The sequence below is a fragment of the Homo sapiens genome, chromosome 9 (genome assembly GCF_000001405.40).
Source record: "Homo sapiens chromosome 9, GRCh38.p14 Primary Assembly".
Taxonomy (NCBI): domain Eukaryota; kingdom Metazoa; phylum Chordata; class Mammalia; order Primates; family Hominidae; genus Homo; species Homo sapiens.
Window position 1 is genome coordinate 92217569 of NC_000009.12, and position 27206 is coordinate 92244774.

General features: G+C 41.5%; 1 protein-coding gene across 22 annotated transcripts in view; it reads right to left on the minus strand.

The window, feature by feature from the left end:
- IARS1 (isoleucyl-tRNA synthetase 1) overlaps positions 1-27206 on the minus strand; it is an 83491-nt gene that overhangs the window by 7362 nt on the left and 48923 nt on the right. For 14 of the 22 annotated variants that reach the window (NR_073446.2, NM_001378573.1, NM_001378583.1 and 11 more), the window contains 6 exons: positions 25648-25743; positions 24586-24762; positions 23288-23393; positions 11433-11558; positions 5778-5921; positions 4952-5104 (listed from right to left, as the gene is read on the minus strand). Coding sequence is in view for 21 of the 22 variants with exons in the window: in NM_001378573.1 (NP_001365502.1) it covers positions 4952-5104; positions 5778-5921; positions 11433-11558; positions 23288-23393; positions 24586-24762; positions 25648-25743 (802 nt within the window). In the remaining variant the exon portion in view is untranslated. Of the gene's footprint in view, positions 1-4951; positions 5105-5777; positions 5943-11432; positions 11559-23287; positions 23394-24585; positions 24763-25647; positions 25744-27206 lie in introns of all 22 variants that reach the window. The other 8 variants (NM_001378584.1, NM_001378579.1, NM_001378580.1 and 5 more) reach the window with 5 other exon arrangements.

A 27206-nucleotide genomic window follows, 5' to 3' on the forward strand; every position in this document is an offset into this window, starting at 1 on the left:
CAATACAAAATGATAAAGGGGATATCACCACCGATCCCACAGAAATACAAACTACCATCAGAGAATACTACAAACACCTCTACGCAAATAAACTAGAAAATCTAGAAGAAATGGATAAATTCCTCGACACATACATTCTCCCAAGACTAAACCAGGAAGAAGTTGAATCTCTGAATAGACCAATAACAGACTCTGAAATTGTGGCAATAATCAATAGCTTACCAACCAAAAAGAGTCCAGGACCAGATGGATTCACAGCCGAATTCTACCAGAGGTACAAGGAGGAACTGGTACCATTCCTTCTGAAACTATTCCAATCAACAGAAAAAGAGGGAATCCTCCCTAACTCCTTTTATGAGGCCAGCATCATTCTGATACCAAAGCCAGGCAGAGACACAACCAAAAAAGAGAATTTTAGACCAATATCCTTGATGAACATTGATGCAAAAATCCTCAATAAAATACTGGCAAAACGAATCCAGCAGCACATTAAAAAGCTTATCCACCATGATCAAGTGGGCTTCATCCCTGGGATGCAAGGCTGGTTCAATATACGCAAATCAGTAAATGTAATCCAGCATATAAACAGAGCCAAAGACAAAAACCACATGATTATCTCAATAGATGCAGAAAAAGCCTTTGACAAAATTCAACAACCCTTCATGCTAAAAACTCTCAATAAATTAGGTATTGATGGGACATATTTCAAAATAATAAGAGCTATCTATGACAAACCCACAGCCAATATCATACTGAATGGGCAAAAACTGGAAGCATTCCCTTGGAAAACTGGCACAAGACAGGGATGCCCTCTCTCACCACTCCTATTCAACATAGTGTTGGAAGTTCTGGCCAGGGCAATTAGGCAGGAGAAGGAAATAAAGGGTATTCAATTAGGAAAAGAGGAAGTCAAATTGTCCCTGTTTGCAGATGACATGATTGTATATCTAGAAAACCCCATTGTCTCAGCCCAAAATCTCCTTAAGCTGATAAGCAACTTCAGCAAAGTCTCAGGATACAAAATCAATGTACAAAAATCACAAGCATTCTTATACACCAATAACAGACAAACAGCCAAATCATGAGTGAACTCCCATTCACAATTGCTTCAAAGAGAATAAAATACCTAGGAATCCAACTTACAAGGGATGTGAAGGACCTCTTCAAGGAGAACTACAAACCACTGCTCAAGGAAATAAAAGAGGATACAAACAAATGGAAGAACATTCCATGCTCATGGGTAGGAAGAATCAATATCGTGAAAATGGTCATACTGCCCAAGGTAATTTATAGATTCAATGCCATCCCCATCAAGCTACCAATGCCTTTCTTCACAGAATTGGAAAAAACTACTTTAAAGTTCATATGGAACCAAAAAGGAGCCCGCAACGCCAAGTCAATCCTAAGCCAAAAGAACAAGGCTGGAGGCATCACACTACCTGACTTCAAACTATACTACAAGGCTACAGTAACCAAAACAGCATGGTACTGGTACCAAAATAGAGATATAGATCAATGGAACAGAACAGAGCCCCTCAGAAATAACGCCACGTATCTACAACTATCTGATCTTTGACAAACCTGAGAAAAACAAGCAATGGGGAAAGGATTCCCTATTTAATAAATGGTGCTGGGAAAACTGGCTAGCCGTATGTAGAAAGCTGAAACTGGATCCCTTCCTTACACCTTATACAAAAATCAAGATGGATTAAAGACTTAAACATTAGACCTAAAACCATAAAAACCCTAGAAGAAAACCTAGGCATTACCATTCAGGACATAGGCATGGGCAAGGACTTCATGTCTAAAACACCAAAAGCAATGGCAACAAAAGACAAAATTGACAAATGGGATCTAATTAAACTAAAGAGCTTCTGCACAGCAAAAGAAACTACCATCAGAGTGAACAGGCAACCTACAGAATGGGAGAAAATTTTCGCAACCTACTCATCTGACAAAGGGCTAATATCCAGAATCTACAATGAACTCAAACAAATTTACAAGAAAAAACAAACAACCCCATCAAAAAGTGGGCAAAGGACATGAACAGACACTTCTCAAAAGAAGACATGTATGCAGCCAAAAAACACATGAAAAAATGCTCATCATCACTGGCCATCAGAGAAATGCAAATCAAAACCACAATGAGATACCATCTCACACCAGTTAGAATGGCAATCATTCAAAAGTCAGGAAACAACAGGTGCTGGAGAGGATGTGGAGAAATAGGAACACTTTTACACTGTTGGTGGGACTGTAAACTAGTTCAACCATTGTGGAAGTCAGTGTGGCGATTCCTCAGGGATCTAGAACTGGAAATACCATTTGACCTAGCCATCCCATTACTGGGTACATACCCAAAGGACTATAAATCATGCTGCTATAAAGACACATGCACACGTATGTTTATTGCGGCATTATTCACAATAGCAAAGACTTGGAACCAACCCAAATGTCCAACAATGATAGACTGGATTAAGAAAATGTGGCACATATACAACATGGAATACTATGCAGCCATAAAAAATGATGAGTTCATGTCCTTTGTAGGGACATGGATGAAATTGGAAATCATCATTCTCAGTAAACTATCGCAAGAACAAAAAACCAAACACTGCATATTCTCACTCATAGGTGGGAAATGAACAATGAGATCACATGGACACAGGAAGGGGAATATCACACTCTGGGGACTGTTGTGGGGTGGGGGGAGGGGGAGGGATAGCATTGGGAGATATACCTAATGCTAGATGACGAGTTAGTGGGTGCAGCGCACCAGCATGGCACATGTATACATATGTAACTAACCTGCACAATGTGCACATGTACCCTAAAACTTAAAGTATAATAATAATAAAAATAATAATCATAAAAAAATAATAAAATAAAATTACAAAAATTATCTGCACATGGTGGCACATGCCTGTAATTCCAGCTACTCGGGAGGCTGAGGCAGGAGAATCGCTTGAACCCAGGAGGTGGAGGTTGCAACGAGCTGGGATATCGTGCCACTGCACTCCAGCCTGGGCAACAAGAGTGAAACTCTGTCTCAAAACAAACAAACAAACAAACAAACAAACAAAAAACACGAATAGAATGAAAATGGTAGAAATTAGGCAGGGTGTGGTGGTTCTTGCTTGTAATCCCAATGCTTTGGGAGGCCAAGGTGGGAGGATCACTTGAAGGCAGGAGTTCAAGACCAGCCTTGACCTTATAGCAAGACCCTGTCCCTACAAAAAAATTTTAAAATTAGCTGGGCATGGTGGCGCGTGCCTGTAGTCCTAGCTAGGGAGGCTGAGGTGGGAGGATCGCTGGATCCCAGGAGTTTGAGGCTGCAGTGAGCTGTGATTGAGCCACTGCACTGCAGCCTGCGTGACAGAACAAGACCAAGTCTCAAAAACAAAACAAAACAAAACAAAAAAACCAAAACACTGTAACAGAAATAAACACTGCCTTATACCAAAAAATGTACACCTAGGGAAATCATAAACTGCAGAAAGTAAAAGACAAAGGGAAAATCTTCAAGGAAGCAGAGAAAAGCAGCACCTTACCTGCAGAGGAACAAGGGTAAGATAAAAAAGCCAAAATTATCCAGAATGTAGTATATAAGGACAAAAGGAGGGAAAATAGGAAAAGAGAATAAGAGGTAGGATAGAGTGAGAAAGTCCATCTAAAATATGTCTAAACAAGGTGTCAGAAGGAGAGAATACCAGAGAGAATGAATAAGAGGTAAGTTGGACAAGATAATGTCTGGCAATTTTCCACAAGTGCCGAAAGACACAAATACTGACACAGAAAGCCCAATAAATCCCAGGCTATCAGGTGTTACAAATAAAAGGATGGGATGGTAAAAGTCTTGAATTGAGATGTCAAGAATGGGTATAAATAGAAAAAAACAGATCCCACAAAGGGAAGCTGTCTGGGGAAGTGATTGCAGTGGCAGCAATATTAAAGTGAACATGTCTGATGTGTAGCAGGATTACAGAACGAAACTCAGAGGGTAGGGTGAGGATGTCAACAGAGAAGTTGACAGAGCAGCCACAGAAGCTGAAATCTCAGAAGTGAATAGTGCTAAGTGGGAGAACGGGAGGAGGAGAAAATAAGCTGCCTGACACCAGCAAGTAAGTGCAGGTCGCCATCCTTAATTTCTATTTTCTAGATAATAGAATGTGGAATATGTCAACTGATGATCTAGCTCTTCACAGTGTTACGTGTCTCAAGGAAAAAATGCAGGTAAGCATGTTTTATAAACTGTAAAGGGAGGTATAATGTCAGCTGTAAGGCTGTAATGTCAGGCTATTTTACAACCCTGTGATAATTTTGACTTTTGGGGGAAAGAACAATTTTAGGGTCAGCAAATATGCTGATTTACCTAGAAGCATGTATTTTTAATAACATACCAATGTAGTTTTTAGATTTAGCAAAAAGTAATTATACTTTTAATTGCTATTAAAAAATTATATTATTGACCGGGCATCACGGCTCACGCCTGTAATCCCAGCACTTTGGGAGGCCGAGGTGGGCGGATCACCTGAGGTCAGGAGTTTGAGACCAGCCTGGCCAACATGGTGAAACCCCGTCTCTACTAAAATCCAAAAATGAGCCAGCCATGGTGGCAGGCGCCCGTAGTCCCAGCTACTCGGAAGTCTGAGGCAGGAGAATCCTTGTTCCTGGGTTGAAGCCCCAGGCCTGAACCCAGGAGGCGGAGGTTGCAGTAAGCCAAGATCGTGCCACTGCACTCCAGCCTGGGAGACAAAGTGAGACTCAGTCTCAAAAAAAAAAAAAAAAAAAAAAAAAGAAAAGAAAATTATATTATGGTAAATTTCTGGGGAAAGAATAACAAAACAGGATAACAATAGTACTATCTTACATGTATATGCTACAAATGGTTAATGGCATCAAAATCTACTTTCAACAAAAATAAAAAACTTACGGTCCACAATCTCCTTACCCTGCGTTTGGGTCTCATTCAGAAACAGCTTTAGCTTCCTGCTCCGAAGGCCAAACACCTTGGCTGCTTCATACAGAAGACCTTGGTGGGTGAGTCCATTCTGCCCAAGTGGGTTTTCAAGCAGGAGAGTGCCCACTGTCCCCATTAAACACTCTGTGGAAGACAGAACAAACTGGATTAAATCTCGAGAGTTCACCCTCTAGCTCCAAAAGAGGTGGCCACTGCGGACAGCTCTAACAGGCAGTGCTGAGGCCAGCAGTGCGTCCAGGAGCGTGAGTGTGACCGCTGAAGATGCAGTCCATGCAGAAACAGCTCTCAACATTTCATAGAGGTGAAGGGGAAGGGGAAAAAGAAAAAAAAAAAACTTATATAAAAGCCCAGCAGCTTGGGGAGCAGATACTCAGTACACAGTGAAGTGAGGAGCCCGAAGACTTCAGTACAAATGTGCACAATGAGGATCCTAAAATATCAGGAAAAAAATCACTATCAATCTAGTCTGTTGATTAAGGCATGGAGGTATAGAAGTTTTCAGAACATTTTTCCTCAGAAAAGAAAGTAAAATTTGAGATTAAAATGTTTTGGCACTCAAACAATTTAGTTGTAATTTTTACCTAACCAATTTTTTCATTTCCTAACCATGCCAGATGGATGAGGGTCTCTATAACACACCAAAAGAAAAGCCTGTGGTTGCTCCCCAAAGTTGCGTGAGAGCCCACACTTTAAAGCAATACTTTGAAGCCGACTAGAAATACACACATATTTGAATATTAAAGACAACTTCAATGCCCAGCACCCCACAGTCTGCCTGCTGTGGGGAGGCACATACCTTGTGGCTTTGCATTCAGGAGCTGTAGGTTGATATACTGACAAAGAAGAGTACTAGAACTGTTGATCAGAGAGGGAGCCGATCCTGCAGTCACACAAAGTGTTTTTCCACTAAGACTCAGTAAGTCAGTTTGGTTTTGTATTTCTAAAAATAACAACAACAATTCTTTCAGGGTTAACGAACAAATTCAAAACTGAAGTCATTCAATTTTTCCTATTTAACTATCATGTATCTTTTTACGATAATGCTTTCCACTTAATTTCTGTTTATCAAGAGACATTGCCTTTTCTATAAAACCAGCCTTTAATGACATGTAATGGTAGGAAATCTCAATGTTGCAAAACAAACATCATAATATTCATAATCTGAAATATAGGGCTAATTGTTTTCTCTATTTTAGTATTTTCTCTGTATAATACAGCTCCTCTTAAAATTTCCTCCTATATCAGAATCTCAAGCTTCACCATGAAAAACTTACATTAAAAAGTGCTAATTACAGTCAGAAGATGTTATTTGACTCAGGAGCAGATGTGAAAAAAAGCATGATACACAGAACATATGCAGTGTAATTTCATTTAGAGAACATTAAACGTTGCTTGGGGATGCATGCGCAGGCAGATGACTGGTAATGGTTGTGATATAGGACAGGCCCACAGGGCAGCCTCCAAATATTGAGTGGAAATGGTAGGTATGAGACTAGGCTGGGGCACTGGCTCAGGGAACAAGGAAACTGCTGCACCAGTGGCTAGATGCTCATGCTCAGCCTAGGCCCACATGGTCTCTTCTCTCAACCACAGGTGTGGCCTTGTAGGAAGTCTTCCAGGACTGGCTGGCAGAGAAAGAAAACATTTTAGGGCTTGCTGTGTAGGGCTTTACTGCACAATACGCTGTATCATCCAAAGTAGACAATTACAGTCTTAACGGCCCTGTTCTGACTCTGGGTAGCCCTGAAGAATAGTGATGGGTGGAAATCCTCCCAATGGGCACAGCTTCTTTCAGTGCAGCCGGCTGGTCATTTTGCTCAGCAGAAATAGCTAGGAGTAGATCTACACTGATTCATGGACACTGGCCAATAGCTGGACTAAACGAGAACAGCCAGGGACTCAAAGAACAGAATTAGAAAACTGGTGACAAGGAAGTTAGGGCAAGAGGTATGTGGACAGATCTCTACAAATGGGCAGACTATGAATGAGGATCTAAAAATGGGTGAGGCTGGGCACAGTGGCTCACACCTGTAATCCTATCACTCTGGGAGGCAGAAAGGGGAGGACTGCTTGAGGCCAGGAGACTGAGCCTGGGCAATACAGCAAGACCTCCTCTCTACAAAAAAGAAAAGAATTAGCCAGGCATGGTGGCATGTGTCTGTACTCCTAGTTACTTTGGAGGCTGAGGTGGGAGGATTGCTTGAGCCCAGAAGTTTGAGGTTACACTGAACTATGATTGAGCCACTGCACTCCAGCCTGAGTGATCGAGTGAGACCCTGTCTCAAAAAATAAAAAATAAAAAATAAATAATAATAATCAGTGGACATGTTCTATTCTGCCGCCAGCCACTCCTGCCCTTGCCCAATGGATTGATGAACAAAGGGGCCACCCAGACTGGGAGGAAGAATAACCACGGGCTCCACAACATTACTTCCACTCCCTAAGGCTGATTTTGCTACAGCTGCTACTGCGTATCCCACCTACCAACAGCGGGAACCATTACTTGAGCTTTCGATACAGTGTTATTGCCAGGAAAGACAAGCCAGACTCCTGATGGCAGCTTGGTTGTACTGCACTGTTTCCATTATGGGAAAAGGCAGTGCTTTGGTCTTACTGGAACACACACTCCTTTTGGACAAGGATTTGCCACTGTCACCTATAATGCTTCTGGCAAACCCACCATCCATGGAGGTAGAGAATGTCTTATTTACCAACACAGCATTCCACATAGCATCGCTTGACCAGAGAACTCATTTTTCAGCAAATGAAGTGTGGCATTATGTATTAATATATATTAGCCAATTCTTATTTTTCCACTCTCTTATTTCCTTACCATATAACATGAAATATTTTAACGGGTTAACCTTATACCTCAGTGAAGTTAAAGAACAGCAAAAGAGGGATGTATGGCTCAGCTAGAAGAGAAATCAACATCACCCAAAGAAGGATAAGGTAACTTTCTATCTCGTTTTGGGTAATGAAGTTAGCATCTTTGAAGCAGTACAAGAAAGAGTTAAAAGTGTGATTTTTTTTTTTTTTTTAATCTACTAGGGTCTTTATTTGGAAGTTACATATGATTTAAAGAGCCATGTATAGATGTCAAGATCACAATGGGGTGAACTATGGTGGTTTCATCCTGTGTCAATGCAGCTAAGCTAAAACTATTTCCCAGGTTCTCTGTCTGACCTGGTTCTGGGTAATGGCTTGATCACAGACAAATCTACACAGGATTTAGAAGGTAGAAGTTTAGTAACAGTCATTATGCTAAACAGGCTAACATGGGGCCCGTGCCCTTGGCTTTCTCAGGTTGCTGTGAATCTGCCAACTTGTTGGGTTAAGTGGGACAGTGAGCAGCCCACGCTCCTGCCTCTGCTCTTCCAACTTCCAGGCCAGGAATGTGTGCAACTCTCTGGAAAAGTGTACCAGCAGTTTCTTCTGCAAGGCACCTGTCAGTGTGGGATGAGGTCAGATAGATGTGCACTCTAGCCTGTTTTTGCTCGTTTCTACTTCTCATCCTACCGTGACTTTAGGCAGAGATCCAGCTTTCCACTGACTTATCCACCACCTTGGTGGAACCTGGTTAGAGATTTTTCTCAGACCTCTAACTTGCTACCTTCTTGTAGAATTTTACTTGGTTTCTCCCACATTGCTTTTGCTTCTCCTATCCAACCTTTAATGGATACAATAGCAAACAGTTTTCCAGTGGTTCCAACAATTCATAATCCAGCAGTGAATGAGAGTTCCCATTATGCAATATCCCTGACAACATTTGAGTCTGCCAGATTCTTCTAGTTTTTGCCAATCTGGTGGCAGTTAATAGTACCTCACTGTGGTACTATCTTGCAAGTTCCTGATTACCATTAAGATGCACCAGTTGTTCCTTAGTTGGCCATTTGCATTTCTTCTTTTAAGTTATTTAAAAGTTTCTGAAAATGAGCATTCAGATTCATAAAATGAGTATTAGTTTTCTGAGGCTGCCATAGTAAAGTCCCATAAACTGCAGGGGGCTAGGGAATAAAAATAAAAGAAATGTACTGTCTCAAAGTTCTGGAGGTCAGAAGTCCAAAATTAAAGTGTTGGCAGATGTGCTCCCTCTGAAACCTGTAGGCGAATTCTTTTTTGCCTCTTCCTAGCTTCTGGAGGCTCCCGGCAATCTTGGTTGTTTCTTGGCTTGCAGCTGTGTGTAACTCCAATCTCTGCCTTTGTCACCACATGGCATTTTCTCCGTGTGTTTCTATGTCTTCACATGGCCACCTTCTTTTTTTTTTTTTTTTTATTGATCATTCTTGGGTGTTTCTCGCAGAGGGGGATTTGGCAGGGTCACAGGACAATAGTGGAGGGAAGGTCAGCAGATAAACAAGTGAACAAAGGTCTCTGGTTTTCCTAGGCAGAGGACCCTGCGGCCTTCCGCAGTGTTTGTGTCCCTGGGTACTTGAGATTAGGGAGTGGTGATGACTCTTAACGAGCATGCTGCCTTCAAGCATCTGTTTAACAAAGCACATCTTGCACCGCCCTTAATCCATTCAACCCTGAGTGGACACAGCACATGTTTCAGAGAGCACAGGGTTGGGGGTAAGGTCACAGATCAACAGGATCCCAAGGCAGAAGAATTTTTCTTAGTACAGAACAAAATGAAAAGTCTCCCATGTCTACCTCTTTCTACACAGACACGGCAACCATCCGATTTCTCAATCTTTTCCCCACCTTTCCCCCCTTTCTATTCCACAAAACCGCCATTGTCATCATGGCCCGTTCTCAATGAGCTGTTGGGTACACCTCCCAGACGGGGTGGTGGCCGGGCAGAGGTGCTCCTCACTTCCCAGTAGGGGCGGCCGGGCAGAGGCGCCCCTCACCTCCCGGACAGGGCGGCTGGCCGGGCGGGGGGCTGACCCCCCCACCTCCCTCCCGGACGGGGCGGCTGGCCAGGCAGAGAGGCTCCTCACTTCCCAGTAGGGGCAGCCGGGCAGAGGCGCCCCTCACCTCCCGGACGGGGCGGCTGGCCAGGCGGAGGGGCTCCTCACTTCTCAGACGGGGCGGCTGCCGGGCGGAGGGGCTCCTCACTTCTCAGACGGGGCGGTTGCCAGGCAGAGGGTCTCCTCACTTCTCAGACGGGGCGGCCGGGCAGAGACGCTCCTCACATCCTGGACGAGGCAGCAGGGCAGAGGCGCTCCCCACATCTCAGACGATGGGCGGCCGGGCAGAGACGCTCCTCACTTCCTAGATGGGATGGCGGCCGGGAAGAGGCGCTCCTCACTTCCTAGATGGGATGGCGGCCGGGCAGAGACGCTCCTCACTTTCCAGACTGGGCAGCCAGGCAGAGGGGCTCCTCACATCCCAGACGATTGGCAGCCAGGCAGAGATGCTCCTCACTTCCCAGACGGGGTGGCGGCCGGGCAGAGGCTGCAATCTCGGCACTTTGGGAGGCCAAGGCAGGCGGCTGGGAGATGGAGGTTGTAGCGAGCTGAGATCACGCCACTGCACTCCAGCCTGGGCACCATTGAGCACTGAGTGAACGAGACTCCGTCTGCAATCCCGGCACCTCAGGAGGCCAAGGCTGGCGGATCACTGGCGGTTAGGAGCTGGAGACCAGCCCGATGGCCACCTTCTTATAATGACAACAGTCATACTGGATTAGGGGCCCACGCTACTCCAGTATGACCTCATCCTAACTAGTTACATCTGCGATAATCCTATTTCCACAGGTCACATTTAGAGATACAAGGGGTTAGGACATAATCTTTTTTTTTTCAGAGGTCACAATTCAATACGTAACAGCGGGAGAATGCATCTATAATTCTTTAAAAATTTTTCAGGTTTGCTTTATTGAGAATCCAGACTTAGTGAGATCCAGGCATTGTGTTTAATAAAGTTAAAACTCACGGTTGGGTGTGGTAGCTCACACCTGGAATCTCGGCACTTTGGGAGGCCAAGGCAGGGGGACTGCTTAAGGCCCTGGGTTCAAGACCAGACTGGGCAATATACTGACTTGGTCTCTCCAAAAAAATTAAATAAAATTAGCCAAGCATGGTGGTGGCATGCCTGTAGTCCCAGTTACTTGGGAGGTCAAGGCAGGAGGATTACTTGAGCCCAGGAGGCCGAGGGTGCAGTGAGCCATGACTGCATCACTGTACTCCAGCATGGGTGACAGAGTGAGACCCTGTCTCAAAAACAAAAACAACCTCACAACAGAGGACTCTGAAGCCTGAAGTCCACCAGCTAGCTAACAGGTGAGAGGGAAAGATTAGATCCATTAAGCCCAGGGTTTTCAGTCACATGACACAATGAGGAGGCATGAATAGACACTGCAGGCAGGCACTGCTGAAGAGTTGGGCCCTGACTCAAGAGAGTTAGGAAAAATGCAAAAGTTGTATAGTACAACTGACAGCAAATTAAGACCTTCACCAATCCATCTTGAGTCAAAGGACGTAGGCTCCTCTCACTTTCCACATACCTGTTTCATCATGGAAGACAGCCAGCTCTGTATTTTTCACACCAAAAATGCTAGTGACAACACTCTTCAGCTTTAAAAGGTCCAACCTATTGTCACCTTTTGGATTTTCCAGGAGCAATACTCCACCTAAAAAGCCACAAAAATAACACCTCAATCAGACAAATAAAACTAAAAAGAAAATGTTACATTTGGAGGAAAAGGGATACAAAGGGGTTCAAGCCCTAATATTTTTCCTTTTCCCCCAACTATACACTATATATATGTGTATATATAGCTTATTATATACATATAAAAGCATACCAAGGATGGATATATATACATATATATACATATATAGTGTATATGCAATATATACACTACACACACACACACACACACACACACACACATCTCCATCCTTGGCATGTGTTTTGGCAATCCTTGGTAGCTATGGTCCAGGCATAGAACTCTACCAGGCAATCTGTTCTTGTCTTTTTCTAGATTTAAACCTTTGTATTCATGATTCTTATTTATGATTGTCATTTTTCATTTTGTGCCATATGTATATTCCCACAGGTCACGATGGTTAAAAATACTATCTGACCCCTGATGTTGATTTATTCTGCACCTTAGATTCATGTACGGATATTTACTTTATTAATATATTTGAACATTTTGAGTTAATTGTAGAGCCAAATGCACGTAGTGAGATACCACAGGCCCCTTACCCAGTTTCCCCTAATGGTGACATTTTACAAAACTACAGTGTATACCACAACCAGCATATTGACACTGATGCAATCCACTGATCCTATTCAGATTGCCTCAGTTTTACTTTTACTCACTGGGGCATGTGTACACGTGGGTATGTTTAGTTCTATGCAATTTTATCACTCGTGTAAAATCCTGTACCCATCACCATCATTAAGATACAGAGTAGTTCTGCCACCATGAGAATCCTCGTGTTGCCTTTTAATATCCATACCCAATTCCCTCCCAGGCCCATTCCCTCCTTAATCCCTGGCAAACAGTCTCCATTTCTATAATCTTATCATTTAAAACATGTTATGTGAATGCAATCATACAGTATGGAACCTTTTGGGACTTTTTTTATTTGGCAACAATTTCTTTTCTTTTCTTTTTTTTTTTGAGATGGAGTTTAGCTTTGTCGCTCAGGCTAGAATGCAGTAGTGCGATTTCGGCTCACCGCAACCTCTGCCTCCTGGATTCAAGAGATTCTCCTGTTTCAACCTCCCAAGTAGCTGGGATTACAAGCACCCACAACCACGCCTGGCTAATTTTTGTATTTTTTCAGTAGAGACGGGGTTTCACCATGTTGGCCAGGCTGGTCTCAAACTCCTGACCTCAGGTGATCTGCCTGCCTCGGCTTCCCAAAGTGCTGGGATTACAGGCATGAGCAACTGTGCCTGGCCTCAGTTGGCATCAATTTCTAAGGATTAAAATAAGTTACTGTGCTGATAGTTGTTCCTTTTTATTACTGTGTAATGTTCTATGATATGTACCCCAGTTTGCTTAGCCATTTATCTGCTGAAGAATATCTGGGTCATCTATAGTTTGGTGCTATTATGAATATAAGTACTATATACATTCATGTGGTGGTGAACATAGTTTTCAGTTCTCTGGGATAAACACCTAGGAGTGCAACTGCGAGTCATTATAGAAAGCACATATTTAGTTTTCTGATACTGCCGAACTATTTTCCAGAGTGATCATACCATTCTATATTCTCACCAGCAATGTATGAGATACAGCATTTGGTGCTGTCACTACTTGCAATTTTAGTCATTGTGATAGCTGTGTATTAAGACCTCAATGTGATTTCAACTTGAATTTTCCTAACGGCTAATGACGTTAAATGTTGTCATGGACATTTCTGTCATTTGTATATTCCCTTTGGTAAATGTCTGTTCATATCTCTACCCCATTTTCTAACTGGATTTTTCTTTACTGTTGAGATTTAAAAGATCTTTACGTATTCTAGATATGTCTTTTGTCAAATATGTTGTTTTATAAAGATTTTCTCCCAGTCTGTAGCTTGTCTTTCATCCTTTTATAGGATGTTCAAAGCAAAACCTAAATTTTCATTTAGTTCAATATATCACTTTTCCCTTTTAAGGACAGTGTTTTGTGTCAAGGCTTTAAAACTCTTTGTTTAATGTTTAAATGAAAAATCTTAAGACTTTTCCAAAAATACTAGTAGAGCACTTTGGCCACCTAAGTAAGTAACCTTAATTTATTCCATCTGCTGGGAATATACTTTTGATCCAGCTATTGTTTCATAAACTAGTGTGTTTTATATTATAGTACCTAGCACATGGCTACAGTTTTCAAATGAAAGCTAAGAAATCTGCTTATCTGTATGCTTATACATGCCTGTGCATGTAGGTATGTTACGTATATGTGTTATTTTTTTCTTTTTTTTTTTTTTTTGAGACGGAGTTTTGCTCTTGTTGCCCAGGCTGGAGTGCAATGGCATGATCTTGGCTCACAGCAACCTCCACTTCCCGGGTTCAAGTGATTCTCCTACTTCAGCCTCTCGAGTAGCTGGGATTACAGACATGTGCCACCATGCCCAGCTAATTTTGTATTTGTTTTTTTTTTTTTTTTAGTAGAGATGGAGTTTCTCCATGTTAGTCAGGCTGGTCTTGAACTCCTGACCTCAGGTGATCTGCCTGCATCGGCCTCCAAAAGGGCTAGGATTACAGGCGTGAGCCACCGCACCCAGCCATGAGATGTTTTTCTACCTCCAGATGGTATGGTCAAAAATTAATTCATAAAAGATTTCTATTTAATTGATTTAAAGAAAAATAAGCATTTCACATAAATTAAGTATTCTCTCAGCAATATAGAAACCAACACACATGCTTTTCAAGTTCATGTGACTTGGGTAAGAATATATAATGCAGATATACAACTTTTAAATCCTACCAGGATTTATTATCAAATAAGTTTATGTTACCTCCACTACATATTTATAATTATACAACTATGAGTTCAACCTATGAACAATGTGCAAGTGGGTGCCAGTATCCATTACTTCACGTTTTTCGAGTGCAGCAAAAAAACAAAAAATCTCATCTATTAAACTTTTTAGGATTCTTGTTTTTGTGAAGACTGCCGAACATGCACATGCTGTAAAAGTAGCTAACAGAGAAATAACTTAATGATAGCTAGCTTTGTTTGTGTTATGTCTACTCAAAAATAGCTCCCCACTGGTAATTTACAGCCTAGGGGTTTTGTTAATTTAAATGATGAATATTCATTGGATATGTAGATATTTTCCAAATAAAATACTGAAGCATTAATAGTGGAACATAAATTATACTACAAGGAAGCATATGTTTCTACAAATTTGATTCATAGATTTGCCAATCTATAGAATGCTGATGTGACAGTTATAACTAGAATAAGAGAAATGATTCTGTATGTGAGGAAAAGACATGGTTTTGGTAAGGTGAAGCTATGAAGTATGAAGGATGTGTGTTCGTTAAGAGAAAAAGACTAACTTTTGCCTTATAGTAGAATGACTTGTTTCACAGTAAGAGGAAGAATTTAATCCAAAACAGAAGGGTATGAGAAAGTTGTAGTAGGTTTGTGGAAGAGGAATCTTGGAAAAGGAATTTTATGTGTGGTCAACCTGGGTAAGTTCTGAATGAATTTATTTATAAATTATCAAATTAATAAGCCTTAATAATACCAGCACTTTGGGAGGCTGAGGTAGGAGGATTGCTTGAGTCCAGGAGTTCAAGACCAGACTGGGCAGTGTAGTGAGACACTGTCTCTACAGAAAAGAAAACAGAGAAACAGAGTCCTCTCTATTAAAACTGCTCAGGTCTTTTTATAACTTTGTGACTTTCTATATTTGCCTTTGATATTTTTAATTATCACTCTGGTTAAATGAGTGACTGTAGCTTCAGTGACCTGCAATCCTATTAATCAAGTGTTTTAAGCCTTTGATATTTTTTACTAGCTTCCCAAAATCAAACTCTAAACTTAAGTCTTTCTGACCTCAAGCTAACTTTGGGAGCTTTCAGAGGCCCCCTGAAATATCTCAAGAGAATTTTCTTTCATTATGAAGAGAAACAGTAAACAAGTTAGACTTATTTGACTACGTTAGATCTGCATGGGAAGCGCTGTCAAATAAGAAATGTTGTTTAACCTTCTTTAACTTGTACAAATAATGTGTTCCAGAAATTGTGTGAAATTCTTAGAAATCTGATAGCCTGGTCTAATGTTATCAGTCATAATTCTAGTTACCTTAAAATGCTGTATACCACAGAAATAACTAAACTTCCTTGTCAATTGCAACATTAGTATAATGAACTCTCATTAGATATTTAACCATGGCCATTTAAAGTCTTGTCATCCAACGATAGTTAATTGTTTTACTCTGGCACTTTCCTGAAAACTATTGTAAGCAACAGTGAATCTAAAGTGTTTCATCTTTGAGGAGATGCAATGGAAAGGACTCTGACAAGTACAGGTTTCTGATGTTAAGATCACACCATTGGACTGGGTAAGAATTATCATAACTCTTGTGAAGTAATTAACTAATTCATGATGCTGTCACAATGGCAATGACATTTTAACCTGAGTTTTGGAGGACACACTCAAACCACAGCAGGATAGAAGATACATTTTTACTATATTGAATCTTCTAATCCATACACGTCTCTCCACTTACTTAGATTTTGTCTGATTTTTTTCATCACTATTTTGAAGTTTTCAGTATACAAGTCCCAACATGTTTTATTAGGTTTACATCTGAATATTTTTTTGGAGACAAGGTCTCACTGTGTGGCCCAGGCTGGAGTATAGTGGCATGATCATGGCTCACTGCAGCCTCCATCTCCCAGGCTCAAGCAATCCTCCAACCTCAGCCTCCCAAGTAGCTGGGACTAAAGGCGAACACCACCACACTTGCCTAGTTTTTTATTTCTTGTAGAGACGGGGTCTCACTTTGTTGCCGAGGCTGGTCTCGAACTCCCAGGCTAAAGTAATCCTCCTGCCTAAGCCTCCCAAAATGCTGGGAATACATGCGTGAACCACCACGCCTGACCTAGCATCTTTTTTTAAGTGACTGTAAATGATACCACATTTTTAATTTCATTGCCCACTTGTTCATTGCTAGTATAGATTGCTATTATGAAATAAAATTCATTTTTGTATGTTTATCTTACATCCTGTGACTCAAAAGTTTTTTTCTTTTTTATAAGCAATATGATTTCTATTCAATTACTTTGGAAACCCAATTAATGCTTGAATCCAAAGGGTATAGAAAAAGGCCAAACATTTAAAAATAACAGATTTAGCGATGATTTGTATGGTTTTTTCCCTCATAATATGAATGCTTTCAGCAGGACAGTAAATTGCAAAACATATCAAATCATATTAAGGCAGACGACCAAGCTGTGGCTGCATTTAAAGCTATTACTAAGAAAATAATCTTGGAGTTGAGAGCTCTTCTTTCCAGGTGTCTGGTCAACTGACCCAGGAATGGCCAGTCCTGGAGTTGGTAGATGGGAAAATAGGCCCTACCTGTCTTATCACTGCTCATGCTGCTGGCCCTCTGTACAAGAACACTGTTCTTGTTTACATTACTGATGCACACCACTGACCATCCGATTCCTTCTACAGGGTAACCTGAGACAGCCAGGATGTTGGCAGTGATGGACCAGCTCAATGCCATACAACATCACTGAAGTTGCAAAGCAGTTCAGGGAACCATGTACTGTCTGAGACATCATCACAGGTCTAAATAAACACACAACCATCATGGGAGCAGCTGGCATGGGAAGATCAATATGGTGATCCCAGGCCACATCTTAAAACCAGGCAATATGAGCTTTTTTTTTTTTTTTGAGATGGAGTTCGTTCTTGTTGCCCAAACTACAGTACAATGGCGCGATCTCGGCTCACTGCAACCTCCGCTTCCCAGGTTCAAGTGATTCTCCTGCCTCAGCCTCCTGAGTAGCTGGGAGTACAGGTGACCGCCATCACACCTAATTCTTTATATTTTTTCGACAGGGTTTCACCATGTTGGCCGGGCTGGTCTTGAACTCCTGACCTCAGGTGATCTGCCTGCCTTAGCTCCCAAAGTGGGATTACAGGCGTGAGCCACCAAGCCTGGCTTATTTTTTCAGGTGTTTGTATGTATGTTCCTTATGATTTTCTATAGAGTCAGCTTTATTCCTTTCTTTATCTGCATGACTTTTATTTCCTCGTCATGCCGTGGTCCACTGGCTAGAACTTCCAGTACAATGTCGAATATGAGTTGTGATTGCCTTGTTCCTGATTTTAGGTAGAAAGAATTCAGGCTTTCCCCATTAGGTATAATGGTAGCTGTAGGATTTTTGCAAAATGCTCATTATCCAGTCCACAAAGGTCTCATCTCTTCCTATTTTTGTGAGGATTTTCATCATGAATGGGTGTTGAATTTGATCAAATGCTTTTTATGAATCAACTGCTATACTCATGTAATCTTTTAGTCTGACAATACGATAATTACATTGATTTTTTTTTTTTTTTTTTTTTTGAGATGGAGTCTCCCTCTGTCGCCCAGGCTGGAGCACAGTGGTGCGATCTTGGCTCACTGCAACCTCTGCCTCCCAGGTTCAAGCAATTCTCCTGCCTCAATAATCCTACTCTCCTGAGTAGCTGGGATTACAGGCACGCGCCACCATGCCCGGCTAATTTTTGTATTTTTAGTAGAGACAGGGTTTCACCATGTTGGTCAGGCTGGTCTTGAACTCCTGACCTTGTGATCCACCCGCCTCAGCCTCCCAAAGTGCTGGGATTACAGGCGTGACCCACCTCGCCTGGACTAGATTGATTTTTAAATATTGAATCAGCCTTGCATCCCTGGAATAAATCCCACTTGGTGATGGTGCATAATTCTTTGTATACATAGCTGAATTCTATTTAATAATTTATTGGGAAGAATTTTACATTTATATTCATGTGGAATATCTGTTTTCTATCTTTTTTTTTTCTTTTTTGAGACAGAGTCTCGCTGTTGTCGGCCTGGGCTGGAGTGCAATGGCACGATCTCAGCTCACTGCAACCTCTGCCTCCCAGGTTACAGCAATTCTCCTGCCTCAGCCTCCCGAGTAGGCTGAGATTACAGGCGCCCGCCACCAGGCTTGGCTAATTTTTGTATTTTTAGTAGAGATGGTGTTTCACCATGTTGGCCAGGCTGGTCTCCAACTCCTGACCTCAGGTGACCCACCCGCCTTGGCCTCCCAAAGTGCTGAGATTACAGGCATAAGCCACCGTGCCCAGCCTATCTTTTTTGTTAATACTGTCTTTATCTGGTTTTGGTAGCAGGTTAATAACCACATAAAATGAGTGAAATGTTCCTTCCTCTTCTATTTTCTGGAAGAGTCTGTGTACAACTGGTGTTAATTCTGGTAAGAATTCTCCAGTGAAACTGGGCCTGGAGATTAGTTCAGAGATTTTAAATTACAAATTCATCTCCTTAATAATTATAGGGCCATTAAAATTATCTGTTTGATATTGTGTGAGTTGTAGTAGTTTGTGTTTTTTAGAAACAGGGTTCACTTCAGGCCAGGAACAGTGGCTCAAACCTGTAATCCCAGCATTTTGGGAGGCCAAAGAAGGCCAGACCACTTGAGGCCAGGAGTTTGAGACCAGACTGGCCAACAGGGTGAAACCCCGTCTCTACAAAAAAATACAAAAATTCATCAGGCGTGGTGTGGCACACCTGGAATCCCAGCTACTCGGGAGGCTGAGGCATGAGAATCACTTGAACCCAGGAGGTGGAGGTTGCAGTGAGCTGAGTTGGCATCACTGCACTGTCCAGCCTGGGCGACAAGCATCCAAGTTGTCAAACTTACATATGGAGATTTATTCATAGTATTTGCGTTTTTGATTTTGGCAATCTGTATCAATAATTCTTTTTATTCCTGATATGCAACTGTGTCTTCTTTTTCTTTATTAGTCTCACTAGAGGTTTATTAATTTTGCTGAATTTTTGGGTAAGAACCAGATTTCTGTATCATTAATTTTCTCTATCGTTTTTGTTTTCAATTGCACTGATCTCTTATTTTTATGTTTTTCCTTCTTCTTACTTTGCATTTATTCTGCCTTTTTTTCCTATCTAGTTTCTTGAGTTTAGACCTTAGGTTATGACTTGAAACCATCTTTCTTTCAGTTTTTAGTGCAACAGATTTCCGTCTCAGGACTGCTTTAGCCACATTCCACATATTTTGATGTCGTATTTTCCTTTACACTCAGTTCTATGTTTCTTTCCCTCTTGAGACTTCTTCCCTAATCATGGATAATTTAAAAGCATGTTGTTTATTTTTAAGAGTGTGGAGATTTTCATTATTATATTACTAATTAATAGTTTGATTCTACTGTGGTCAGAGAGCACACTCTGGTTTCAACTGTATTAATTGGTTGAGGTTTGTTTTATGGCCCAGGTTATAATGTATCTCAGCAAAGTTCTGTGAGAGCTCAAAAATAATTTATATTCTGCTATTTTTGGCTGAGGTGTTCTAACTGGTCTATTGATTACTGAAAAAGGTACTTTGAAGTCTCCAACTATAGTTGTAGATTTGTCTATTTCTCCTTTAATGTCTGTATCTTTTTATTTCATGTATTTTGTAACTCTTTTGTTAGACGCATATAAATTTAGGATCACTGTTTTCTTTGTGTACTGACACTTCTATCATTATTTAATGCCCCTGGTAATTTTCTTTGCTCTGAAGTCTGTTTCATCTAATACAAACATGACCATTCCTGCTTCTTTTGATTAATGTTTGCATAGTATATATTTTTCTACCCTTTTACTTTCAACTCACCTGTATCATTATATTAGAAGTTTGTTATAGACAGCATATACTTGGCTAATGTGTTTTTAACAATATGCCAATCTTTCATTTGTTCTGCTTGTTTTTTTGAGACAGAGTCTCGCTCTGTCACCCAGTATAGAGTATAGGAGCGTGATCTTGGCTCACTGCAACCTCCGCCTCCCGGGTTCAAGCGATTCTCCTGTCTCAGCCTCCTGAGTAGCTGGGACTATAGGCGCCCGCCACCAAGCCTGGCTAATTTTTGTATTTTTAGTAGAGGTGGGGTTTCATTATGTTGGCCAGGCTGGTCTTGAACTCTTGACCTCAGGTGATCCGCCTGCCTTGGCCTTCCAGTGTTGGGATTACAGGCGTGAGCCACTGTGCCTGGCATATTTGTTCTGATTTTCTCTCCTAGCTTCTTGTGGGTTACTGATATAGTTTGGATATTTGTCTCCTCCAACTCTCATGTTGAAATGTGATCCTCAATGTGGGAAAGTGGGGCTTAGTGGGAGGTGTTTGGGTCACTGGTGCCGATCCCTCATGAATGGCTTGGTACCCTTGTTGCAGTAATGAGTGAGTTCTCACTCTGTTCGTTCATGCGATAGCTGGTTATTTAAAAGAGCCTGGCTTCTATCTTGCTCCCTCTCTTCATCATGTGATACACTTGCTCCCACTTCATCTTCTGTAAAGCAGAGTAAAAGCTTCTTGAGGCCCTCAACAGAAGCAGATGCTTGTGCCGTGCTTCTCATACAGCCTGCAGAGCTGTGAGCCAAATAAACCTTCTTTATAAACTAGCCAGCCTCAGGTATTCCTTTATAGCAATGAAAAATGGACTAATACAGTTACTTAAAACATATTTTAGAGTTCCATTTTTTATTTTTCTAGGGTTTTATATGTATCCTGTGGTATAGTCTTTTCTTAGTGGTAACTCCAAGTAGTACCTAACATAAACATAACTTCCTAAGGTCCACTGGTGTCAATATTTTACCGGTTTGTGACAAATGTAGAAACCTCGCTCCTTTGTAATTGTCTTAACTATTATTTCTTGTTCAGTAAATCCTTAATGTTGCTGGTAGGTTCTTGGAAACTGTGACTTCAAGCAGAATGATGTACTATATAATAAACCAACTTTACCACAGGAGTTAAGTTCCCATGGCACACAGTACATCACTTCACTTAAAGTTGCAGGACCCAAGAACTCACTGATGATGTTGAGGCCTTAGTGTATATACACAGAGAACCACATCGAACAATGATATAGTGCTTGCTGGACCCATGAGAGTAATGAAAGTCTATTGAATTACCCTCCATTTTGATTTTCCATTTTTCTTTTTTCCTTCCTGATGTTTCTGGATTCCCTCTTTCATTATTTCCTTTCTGTGGTAAGAACATCCTTTAGCTACTCTTTTAGGACTGGTCTGCTGGGAACGGATTCTTTTAGTTTTCTTTCACTTGAGAATGTCTTTATTTTCCCATCATCCTGAAGGGTATTTCTGATTGATATGGAATTCTTGGTAGACAATACTTATCTTTCAGCACTTGAAAAATGCTGCCTTTTCATTTTCTGGCCTCTGTAGTTCCTGATGAAAAATCCAATATCATTTGTTCTTCCCCTGTAAGTTAGGTGTTATATCTTTTTCACTGCACACAAGACTTTTTTTGTCTTTGGTTTTCAAAAGTTTGATTATGATATATGTAGATGTGGATTCTTTTGGGTTTATCCTGTTTGGGTTTCACGCATACCTTAACTGACACTACAGAGGAGTTGCTCGTGGTGTGTGGCCTCACTGCTGCCATGCATTTGTAAATGGGAGGGATGCCTTGTTACTGCCCAGAAGGGATGGAAATCTAGGCTTTCCATGTGGCCTCCACTGATGCCACCGGGCAGAGGGGCTCATTACTGCCCCCCACTAGGATGAAAGTCCCAGCTTCCTACTTTGTCTTCTCTGATACCCCTGTGACAGGGGAGGGGTCTTCAGCTTGGCAAGGGTGAAGTCCAGGCTCCCCACTTGGCCTTTGCTAATGTGGGTGGTGGTGGGGCCATAGTTTTTTCTATGGTGTCTGGCTAGAGTAGAGCAGTTACTGTTTCAAAATTTTCTGTCTTGCTAGGCTGCCCATCTCTTGATCCTTTGTCAAGGGAGCAGAATTTTTGTTGAGGCTTTCTTTGGTCTGTACTTGACATTTCCAGGTTGCCAGCTTCTTCAGTTCCAACTTTGGGTATACGAGGCAGAAAAGAAAACCCTGAACTTACTACTTTTAGGTCACTTGGTTACAAGGTCCTTAGGTGGTCTGCTTTCTTCCTTACATCTTTGAGAGTCTTCTTATGCTTGTTTTTACATGTAATATCCAGGGTGTTTAGATGTATTTAGCAGGAGGAATAGGGAAAACTGTATCTGCTTCATGCTTCCACAAGCATAAGTCCAATCATTTACTTTAGTGGATTCATTTTTCTTTTCTTTTTTTTTTTGGTGAGACAGTCTTGCTTTGTCACCCAGGCTGGAGTGCAATGGTGCAATCTCAGCTCACTGCAACCTCCACCTCCCGGGTTCAAGAAATTCTCATGCCTCAGCCTCCTGAGTAGCTGGGATTATAGGTACCTGCCACCATGCCTGGCTAATTTTGGTATTTTTAGTAGAGACAGGGTTTCACCATGTTTATCAGGTCTTGAACTCCTGACCTCAAGTAATCCACCAGCCTCCGCCTTCCAAAGTGCTGGGATTACAGGTGTGAGCTACCATGCCTGGCCCTTTTTTTTTTTTTAATTGAGGCAGGATCTTATTATGTTGGCAAGGTTAGTCTTGAACTCTTGGCCTCAAGCAATCCTCTCACCTTGGCTTCCAAAAGTGGTAGATTTCAGGAATGATCCACTGCATCTCGCCTAGTGAATTCATTTTGATGACAAGAAGAAAAAGTTATCTATTAAACATGATTAAATAATTATTCCAATTCTCTTAAAAACATCCATAAGTTTTTTTGGTTGTTTTTTCACATCCATAAGTATAACTAAAAAAAAGTCACACAAATCATGGAATTTACTCTTACCTTGTTCACTGCCATTTGCACAAATGTTAAGATTGACATATGCACAAGCAGGACCAGGAAGGGAAGATCCTCTGGTGAGTGTAATTTCCAGTTCAGATCCCTTCAACTGAGCACATGAGAACGTATGACTGAGTAACTGTGGCACCTGACTGCAATGTGCCACACCATCGTGTAACACAGTGACTTCTCAGTAACAACAAGAGCTGTACACAATTGATAACATATTCAATCTCATTACTCAAAGTATCAAAAGCTACAATTTATATCCCATTTTTCTTCTCTTCTTATCCTGGTTTCTTAAAAATATATGCTCACTTAAAAAAAGTCAAATAATTACACAATATGCAAAATACAAAATGAAACTACACTGCAACTCGCCTCACTGAAAAAATAAACAGCCATCATCAGCCCCTCCTTGTCTTGTCCTACTTGTCTCATAGAATGAGACCGGAGCAAATGATTAAGCAAGTGACTGAGGTATATTTTAAATGATCAACTTTTTTTTTTTGAGACAGGGTCTTGCTCTGTCGCCCAGGATCGAGTGCAGTGATGCAATCTCGGCTCACTGCAACCTCCACCTCCTGTGTTCAAGCGATTCTTCTGCCTCAGCCTCCCGAGTAGCTGGGATTACAGGCGTGTACCACCATGCCCAGCTAATTTTCGTATTTTTAGTAGAGATGGGGTTTCACCAGCCCAGGCTGGTCTCGCACTCTTGACCTCAAGCGATCTGCTCGCCTTGGCCTCCCAAAGTGCTGGGATTACAGGTGTGAGCCACTGTGCCCAGTCTAAATGATCTACTTCTAAGTTATAAGCCAATATCTTCCCTACCTTAATATCATACTTTCATAAGTATATCTAAAATTCCTAGATGTAACAACAGAAATGCTATTGTAATCTTTCTTTTTTTGTACTGTACTTTTATGGAGAACCCACTACCAGAAGAGTTAAATGTTTTTCAAGCCAATTGCTATTTACTTTTAATGATAATTACCAGAATCCACACACTGCCTTTTCTAGTTTTAGAAAAAACAGGCCATTTTATTTCCGGGCAAAGCTCATGTACCCTCCTGGCTACCTTCCTCAAGAGAACTGTTGTGAAAACAGTTCCATCTTCCCTCCCTGCTCCATCTTTTCTGAGCTTCCACTCTCTGACTCTACCCACTACTGTCCAGAGCAATACTTCAAGACAGAGTGCTGTGCCGATCTCTACTGTGGGACAGAATATCAACACGTGAGTACACAAAGTCAAACCTAATCTGAAACCCTTTAGTAGTAGTTCAGTGGAACTCAGGACTCACCTGTGTTTTTTCTTGAATAAGGACTTTATCCGATGGAGAAACTGGATATGGTTTCAAGGGAGCCTTTATGGTGGTAAATATGAACTCTGTGTGGCTTTCAATAACACTATTCAGATATGTTCCTTCAGACTTTGCTTTATAGTACACTGTGATTTCATCAGTTGGAACCAGATTGCACTGAAAACACACACAGAAAAATTTAAAAGGGAAGTACATTCTATTAATCAGAACTGAAGGAAGGTACTGTTGAACAAGGGCTACAGATCCCATGCTGAATCATCACAGAAGGGCAGTCACCCTTCCCTCCCTGCTGGGTGATCCGTAAGACTAACTGCACTCAGTACATGATTAACTTTGTGTCTTTTTCACCACTCTTTGGGGGATAGGGCATGTTTCTTTTCCTAGAACAATCAGTACCTCATGAATGTTGAAACCAAGAAATTACTTAGAACCCACTTACAAAGCTCTGAACTGATTCAGAGGTCACAAGCACCCACTCATCTGCTGGAACAGCCTCCTCAGACCTTGAACCGTCTGGGAAGAAAGATGTATGTTAGCTGTCACTGCCCTCTACAGGGCAAGAAATTCCTGATTCTCTCACTAGCAGGGGCTTTGCAGCCCCTCTGCGCTCCAGGATGAGCTCCCTGCATATTCCTCAGCTCTCTAATAAGGAAAAACTACCCAACTCTGTCCAAATCCGGGAATCTCCCCTAAGCTAGAAGCCTGTCTATGCTGACTGCACCTCTGCCCTTCTGCAAAGACACTATCAGCTCTGATTACCTTCTGCTCCAGTCACAGGGGATATTCTGTAGAAGCCCAACGGAGCTAAAAAAAAGGATGGGAAAAGGCACAGGCTGGCTGAAAGCTACGACTTGGGAGTGAACACGTGGGGAGAGGAAGAGGAGTGACTTTTCTGCAGAATACATTCCAAATGGACTATGGATTAGTGATTGTTATGCATTGATCACTATGGTTTATATTACCTGCCTCTCCTATCTTCTCCAAACAACCAAAACAAACAAAAAGCCAAAACAGTAGCTTATTCTTAACTGACAAACTAACCTTTTTGCGAAGTTTCTGTATGCGATTGATGACTTCCCGAGCCATTCCTTCATCTACCATTGACTGGTCAGGAGTGACATCTAAGAGGACCAAAGCCTGTGGGAATGAACAGTGCACACCATGACAATCAAATAAGGAGAAACACTTCTTCCCAACTCAGCAAAATGTTATTTAAATCTGGAGAGTCTATAATGCAGCACTATTTTTTCACACAAATGAGCAAAAGCAATAAAATTAATCTAGTTTATCATTCAGGTACTTCTTCATAATCAGCTAGTCCTCTGTCTCTGGAGAAAGGTGTGCAGGTTTTTGTTTCTTGTTTTTTTGTAGGGTGCTGCTCACAGGAGATGCCCTGGGACCACCTCTTATCAGAGTCCCTCACATGACTCTGCTTTTTGGCCATCTAAGAAGTAATATCAACTCTTCTAATAAGTAAGATCAATAATCATGAAGCCCTTGGAGCAGCACAGCTTTTCAGGCCACAACAAGTGGATCAACGGCCTCAGCGCAGTCAACTCCAAGTGACTTTCCTATACCATGACCCCTGTGATCTTCAGGTTTGTCAGAACGACTCAAGACAAATTCTACAATGGACCACAAAACTTTCTGTGACTTAAACTGCCATATTTTTGCTAAGGTTAATGTTTCTATCTCATCTATTCTGAAGGTTGCTGATTATGATGTAGCAATAATGACACTATCGCTTCTGTTACACAGCATGTTGCAGAGTAAAATATACTCTACAAAAGACTTGTACATTAGGCATCATCTCATTTACCTTTGAGTAAACAGAGAAGTTAAGAAATGACTCACTTCATAAAGGCATCAGAGGTAGTGAAATGCATGATAAACTCAAAATTCCAGTCAGTGCAGGGCCACTACAACATGTAAGCCATGTCAAGAAACTCAGAAGCATCACATGACACTTTTGTAAGGTGGACAACTTTTCAGGCCCCTAACATCTGCTGTAATGAGGAAGAACTGCCCACTGTCAGTGTTTAGAAACCTCCTCCCTGCCTTCTTTCCCAGCTACGATACCTCCGACTCCTTGCCACTGTCTTCCCACGTAGAGTTCTGTACACATCTAACTTAAGCGCCTGGGTAAAGGACTGAGGAGGTCGACCTTCCTTTCATGGAGGTGCTGCTCTACCTTCCCCTGCACATGGTATGCTAAGCACAGAGGGACCCCTGCAATATCCCCAAACCCACATGCGAGATCTTACAACTATGCTGACTGGGGATGTCTGGTCAGGACTGCAAAGAGATAGTCTCTTCTCCAATATGGCAAAAAATATTGATCCTGGAATCTAAAACAGTTTGTATATTCTCTTGAAAAGAGTGTTCCCTGACCACTTTTCACCCTACACCTATTTTTGGATAGGAGCCCTCTGTGTACTTATTTCTACCAGATAACTTATCAGGTAGAATACTAAGAACTGGCTTAATTTCAGGTGTCCTTGACTGACTCATTCCTTGAAGGGTTCATTTTTGTGCAACCCCACACTTGGGACAATGACTGACATGTAGAAATCACAAAATGCTTACTTATGTATTCACTA